This window comes from Homo sapiens, chromosome X, assembly GCF_000001405.40.
Source record: "Homo sapiens chromosome X, GRCh38.p14 Primary Assembly".
Taxonomy (NCBI): Eukaryota; Metazoa; Chordata; class Mammalia; order Primates; family Hominidae; genus Homo; species Homo sapiens.
In genome coordinates, this window is record NC_000023.11 from 117,303,863 (window position 1) to 117,311,203 (window position 7,341).

Sequence of the window (7,341 nt, forward strand, 5' to 3'; positions counted from 1 at the left end):
AAAATGAGCAGAGATTGCAAAGGGCTTGTTTTCAGCAGAACAAGGACAGAGTTTCCCCTAATATTGCCAGATCAATGAGTTACTACTGTTATCATGCAACAGGGGGTAAACTTTTGAAAATAAAGGCTTATAAAAGTAGTACAGGCAGAAAATAGACATGCATGTGGGTTGATAATGTGATTTAGTTAATGAGATATTTTTAAAAATCAGGATGATTTGGGAACATTTTTGTCTGAGATTGTTACCTCAAATGATCTACTCTCACACAATAAACGACCAGATGCTAAAAGCATAAGGGTTCTACAAGACACTTAATACAAGATACTCCTATGAACAAGATACTTCTCCATAGAATAACAATGTTTAAGCCTGGAACCTTGTTGCTCAACTCTCTACACAGTTAACATTCCCTTGGAATTTATTTCCCCACAGTATTCAAAAAATGTGTCTCAATAAGAGGGCTAGTGAAAGTGGTTGAAGCTGGTCAAAAACTAGTGAAGTCCCTTCAAATACAGAAGCACAAAGGAGATAAATCTGAAATGCTTCCACCCAAAAAGCAGTATGATACAGTGGTACATAGGTTTTGAAGCCTAGCAAAATTAGTCTTAAAACCCAGTTATGGCTTCAAGATGGCTGACTAGATGCATGTTGTAACTGCCCCCTCCAAAAAGTATCAAAAATAGCTAATAGATAATCATATTTCAAATTGATCATGTAAGAGTGAATGCTGGAATTTCACAGACAAATGACAGGAAACACCTAAGGCAAGAAAGGAGAGGGAAGTGAGGCAACCTGCTCAGCTGAGATTGGCTGGAGCCTGAAGAGGCTCCCCAATTCAGGGAAAGAGTAAATGAGAGATTTCCAGTGGTCTGTATTCCCACCATGAAGTTCTGCAATCCTAGCCACAGGAGAGCCCCCTGACTCACACATACCCTGAGACTAACATAGGGAGCTGCCTGGAAAGCATGCAATGGCATTGCTCCAGAGAGAAATCTCACAGGGACCCATACCCACCTAAGTCATAAGCAGCCATGGCATGGCACCATTTTGAAAGCACAGCCCCTCAGATTGCATCCTGCCCTGGGGCCAACAGCCCCTGCATCTCCATATACCTGATGCCTCACTGACATACCCTGTATGCATCCAGGAGCCACCACTGGCTGCTGCCTACCAGGACCAATGCAGGAGCCATTAGCAACAATCCAACCACATCCAATAGGAGGGCAACTGCACAATTAAGAGTGCTAAGGAAAGGCTACCCTGCTTATAGTCACCACATTGGCCTGAAGTGGATACTCTCCAGCTGACTGTTTATTGCTGCTGTCACTGAAAGCAACCCCACTTGCCCCTGGAGCAAGGTCTCACCATAGCTGTTGCCAAACCCACTGTAGCATTCTGCTGGGGCCCTGGGAATCACCTTGCCCCTGCTCACCACAGCCAGAGCTCACACACACCACTGGGGAGCCTGAGGGCAGCCTCGTCCAGCTCTGCTCCATCCTACAGTACCCAAGCACATTATCCAGGGGCCTGGGAATGACCCTGTTCCATCCACCGCTGTTGGCACCTGAACACTCTTCCCAGGGGAGTGAAGACAGACCCACCAAACCTGTTGCTGCCATCACAGCTGGCTCCCACTTGCATGCACCACCTGCCAGTCTGGGGACTGGCTTGTCAAGCCCATCACAGCCACTGTCCACACCAGCGTGAACTGCTTGGGAGCCAGAAAATTGTATCACCACTCCTACTGCCATCACCCATGCCCCACACTCACTGCCCCGGGGCCCAAGGAATCTCCCACCCACCCAATGACTGCCACTGCAGGTACCCAAACAAGGATGCCCAAGAATTGGTCCACCTGGACCCACTAACACTAGTGCCAGTTTATGCTACCCTGGGGCCCAAGGACAGGCATTTTCCACCTGCCACTGCTACCAATGAGGCACAAGGATTGGCCCACCAAGAGACCACTATCCAGGATAGACAAGGAACTCAAGAAAATTAACAGTTAAAGAACTCCAAATAATGCCTTTTAAAAGCGAGCAAAGAACATGAATAGACATTTTTCAAAAAAGACATGTAAATGACCAACATGTATATGAAAAAATTCTCAATATCACTAATCATGGGCTTTCAAATCAAAACCACAATGAGATATCACCTTACCCCAGGTAGAATGGCTAGTACTAAAATGACAAAAAAAAAAAAAAAAAAAAAAAAAAAAAAAAACAGATACTGGTGAGGATGTGGAAAAAAAAGGAACTCTTATATACCGTTGGCGGAAATGTAAATTAGGACAGTCACTGTGGAAAACAATATGGAGATTTCTCAAAAAAACTAAACATAGAACTACCATGCAATCCAGCAATTCCACTACTGGGTATTAACCCAGAGTAAAATAAATCAGTATATCAAAGGGTTACCTGCATTGACATGTTTATTACAGCACTATTAACAATAGCAAAGACATTGAATCAAACTAAGTTTCCATCAACAGATGAACATATAGAAAAAATGCGGTATATATACACAATAGAATACATTTTGACCATAAAAAATGAAATCATTTTATTTTTTTTATTGTACTTTAAGTTCTGGGGTACATGTGCAGAATGTGCAGGTTTGTTACATGCCATGGTGGTTTGCTGCACCCATCAACCCATCATCTACATTAGTTATTTCTCCTAATGCTATCCATCCCCCAGTCCCCCACCCCCCGACAGGCCCTGGTGTGTGATGCCCTCCCCTGTCCATGTGTTCTCATTGTTCAACTCTCACTTACGAATGAGAACATGCAGTGTTTGGGTTTCTGTTCTTGTGTTAGATTGCTGAGAATGATGGTTTCCAGCTTCATACACGTCCCTGCAAAGGACATGAACCCACCCTTTTTTATGGCTGCATAGTATTCCATGGTGTGTATGTGACACATTTGCTTTATCCAGTCTATCATTGATGGGCATTTGGGTTGGTTCCAAGTCTTTGCTATTGTGAACAGTGCCGCAATAAACATATATGTGCATGTGTCTTTACAGTAGAATGATTTAAAATCTTTTGGGTATATACCCAGTAATGAGATTGCTGGGTCAAATGCTATTTCTAGATCTAGATCATTGAAGAATCACCACACTGTTTTCCACAATGGTTGAACTAATTTACATTCCCGCCAGTGGTGTAAAAGCGTTCCTATTTCTTCACATCCTCTCCAACATCTGTTGTTTCCTGACTTTTTAATGATTGCCATTCTAACTGGAATAAGATGGTATCTCACTGTGGTTTTGATTTGCAATTGTCTAGTTCCCAGTGATGATGGGCTTTTTTTCATATGTTTTTTGATGGGGTTGTTTGTTTCTTTCTTGTAAATTTGTTTAATTTCTTTGTAGATTCTGGATATTAGCCCTTTGTCAGATGGATAGATTTGAATACCCTTTATTTCTTTCTCTTGCCTGATTGCCCTGGCCAGAACTTCCAATACTATGTTGAATAGGAGTGGTGAGAGAGGGCATCCTTGTCTTGTGCCAATTGCAATCCTAGTCTCTGATAAAACAGACTTTAAACCAACAAAGATCAAAAGAGACAAAGAAGGGCATTACATACTGGTAAAGGGATCAATGTAACAAGAAGAGCTAACTATCCTAAATATACATACACCTAATACAGGAGCACTCAGATTCATAAAGCAAGTTCTTAGAGACCTACAAAGAGACTTAGACTCCCACAAAATAATAGTGGGAGACTTTAACACCCCACTGTCAATATTAGACAGATCAACGAGACAGAAAATTAACAAGGATATTCAGGACTTGAACTCGCCCCTGGACCAAGTGGACCTAATAGACATCTACAGAATTCTCCACCCCAATTCAACAGAATATACATTCTTCTCAGCACCAAATCGTACTTATTCTAAAATTGACCACATAATTGGAAGTAAAACACTCCTCAGCAAACGCAAAATAATGGAAATCATAACAGTCTCTCAGACCACAGTGCAATCAAATTAGAACTCAGGATTAAGAAAATCAGTCAAAACCACACAACTATATGGAAACTGAGCAACCTGCTTCTGAATGACTACTGGGTAAATAACAAAATGAAGGCAGCAATAAAGATGTTTTTTGAAACCAATGAGAACAAAGACACAATGTACCAGAATCTCTGGGACACCTTTAAAGCAGTGTGTAGAGGGAAATTTATAGCACTAAATGCCCACAAAAGAAAGCAGGAAAGACCTAAATTCAATACCCTAAAACCACAATTAAAAGAACTGGAGAAGCAAGAGCAAACAAATTCAAAAGCTAGCAGAATACAAGAAATAACTAAGATCAGAGGAGAACTAAAGGAGACAAAGACACGAAGAACCCTTCAAAAAAATCAATGAATCCGGGAACTGGTTTTTGAAAAGATCAACAAAATAGATAGACCTATACCCAGACTAATAAAGAAGAAAAGAGAGAAGAATCAAATAGATGCAATAAAAAATGATAAAGGGGATATCACCACCAATCTCACAGAAATACAAACTACCAGCAGAGAATACTATAAACACCTCTATGCAAATAAACTCAAAAATCTAGAAGAAATGGATAAATTCCTTGACACATACACCCTCCCAAGACTAAACCAAGAAGAAGTCAAACCCGTGAATAGACCAATAAAACTTGTGAAATCGAGACAGTAATATAGCCTATGAACCAAAAAAGGTCCACGGCCAGACAGATTCACAGCTGAATTCTACCAGAGGTACAAAGAGGAGCTGGTACCATTCCTTCTGAAACTATTCCAAACAATAGAATAAGAGCGAATCCTTTCTAACTCATTTTTTGAGGCCAGCATCATCCTGATACCAAAACCTGGCAGTGACACAACAAAAAATAAGTTTTTTGATGAATTTTGATGAATTTTTGGATGAATTTTTTTGATGAACATCAATGAGAAAATCCTCAGTAAAATACTGGCAAACCGAATTCAGCAGCACATCAAAATCTTATCCACCAGGATTAAGTTGGCTTCATCACTGGGATGCAAGGCTGGTTCAACATATACAAATCAATATACGTACCCCATCACATAAACAGAACCAATGACAAAAACTACATGATTATCTCAATAGATGCAGAAAAGGCCTTCGACAAAATTCAACAGCGCTTCCTACTAAAAACTCTCAATAAACTAGGTATTGATGGAACATATCTCAAAATAATAAGAGCTATTTATGACAAACCCACAACCAATATCATACTAAATGGGCAAAAACTGGAAGCATTCCCTTTGAAATCATTTTATTTTCAACAACATGGATAGCACTGGAGGTCATTATAATCAGTAAAATGATCCAGGCATAGAAATACAAATATCACATGTTCTCTCTCATATGTGGGATCTTAAAAAAGCTGATTACGTAAAGAGCAGAGTGATAGATATAGAGGTTGGAAAGGGTGTGTGTGTGAGGGGGTAGAGGGGATGAAGAGAGGTTGGTTAAGGGGTAAAAACCTACAGTTAGATAGGAGAAATAAGTTCTCATGTTTCATAGCAGAGTAGGGTGACTAAAGTTAATTAAAATTTACTGTATATTTCAAAATACCTAGACGAGATCACTTGAAATAGTCCAAACACATGGAAATGATAAAAACTCGAGGTAATGGATACTCTGAATTCCCTGACTTAATCATTACACATTCTATACATGTAACAAAATATATTTACCTCATAAATATGTACAAAGAACAAATATTATACATCAGTTAAAAAAAACAGTTGTGGAATTTACTCAGCTGTGTAATCTTGGGTAAATTAATTATTTCTTATGGTCACAGTTTTGTTGTCTGTAAAATAGGTCAACACTGTGTTAGCCTCATAGGTAGTTGTGAGGCTCAAGTAATGTAAAGAGCCATGCACATATTTAGCACTTAATTTTTGAAGGCCTCAGAAGCACTGTAGTAAATGTTGGAACAACAATTAACCATCGTTAACAAGCTCTTAGAATTTGCTACAATTAACAATCTTTCTGAATTGCTGCAATCACAGGCTCCTATATGTTCTCCTGTATTCCTTCTTCAACTTTAGCTTCTAACACTGCTTTGCAGATGTTTCGGACACTACCTGGTGCTCCTGGACATTTACATATTGCCTCTGTCCAAAGTTGATTTGAGGTGTTTTAATAAAATGGAACAGCAACATGTCTTTATCTTTTTTCTGTTATTTGTCATCTGAGTACCCTTGCTTCTGAGAGGCATTATTACATGATGGTGAAAGGGATAAACCAGGTAGAGTTCTAATCCTAACCTTTTTGTACTTACTAGATGACATAGTTAGATAATTTATCTGTGCTTCGGTTCCTGTCTCTGAAAAAAAAGTGGAGATGAAAATAGTACTTTAGTGTTGTTGTGAGGATTAAATGAGGAAATACATTTAAAGTACCTGGAACATAACAGGCACTAAATAAATGTTAGCTATTATTTTTTCTTTTTGTTTAACAAATTATGACCTTGACTCACTACCAAATGGTTTTATAGTCTTCTATTGGCAGCACTAAGAAGCACGCTCAGATGCAGTAGATAAAACATGTATCAACTCAGGTATAGTAATGAGCCCAAAGTGTGAGCAGCATAACCCTCAGAGGTCACAGAGTTACTGCAGGCAGTCCATAAAACCACTCACAACAGTCTTTTCTCAAAGAGTCATGATTTTTTAAAAAGATACAGGATGGGTAGACTTCAGATTATTTGGCTGTCAAAAAGGGGTCCTGAAATATCTATATGTCTACAGATATAAAAATACACAAACACAATTCTTATGTTCCATTAAATTCTGAAAGCAGATGATTTATATATCAACATACATTCCTCAAAAATACTGATGAAGTAATTAGAAATATATTTACAGTTTATTATATTTAAAAAACAACAGCAGTGTAGCGCTAGCTTAAAAAAAGAAGGTTGTTAAATTACTTCTTATATTGAAGGACTGCATGGACAACTAAACACACCCAAAACTCCAAGGGGCACAGAACACCAAAGAACCTGGCAGTTACAAATGTCCTAAATCATTTAAATATGAGTCTTAGCTAGAATAAAGTTAACAACCCTGAAAAATCAGCCAGATAAAAATCTTCATTCTAATTGAAATAATTTCAATAAAATATTTAATTTTTAAAAGATTTAGGGGACAAAATATGTCTTAAAAGCTTAGATTTAGTATGTCCTTTTTGCAGTTGTAAAACATAAAGTATATATTAGGAGGTTTAAGCATATCCAAATGCACGGCTATGTTATCCTTATGGGAAATGTGGGGATTTCTTTGTTAATTTTGGCTATCTGTTAGACATATTTCCTTACAGTTATTTAA

General features: G+C 38.6%; 1 annotated feature.

Moving 5' to 3' along the window:
• Window positions 1,061-1,561: an enhancer, noted in NCBI's record as "H3K4me1 hESC enhancer chrX:116438886-116439386 (GRCh37/hg19 assembly coordinates)". NCBI's record gives its function as "activates a minimal SCP1, AML or CMV promoter by ChIP-STARR-seq in naive H9 embryonic stem cells {active_cell/tissue: H9 hESC(naive)}" and the evidence as "EXISTENCE:reporter gene assay evidence [ECO:0000049][PMID:30033119]".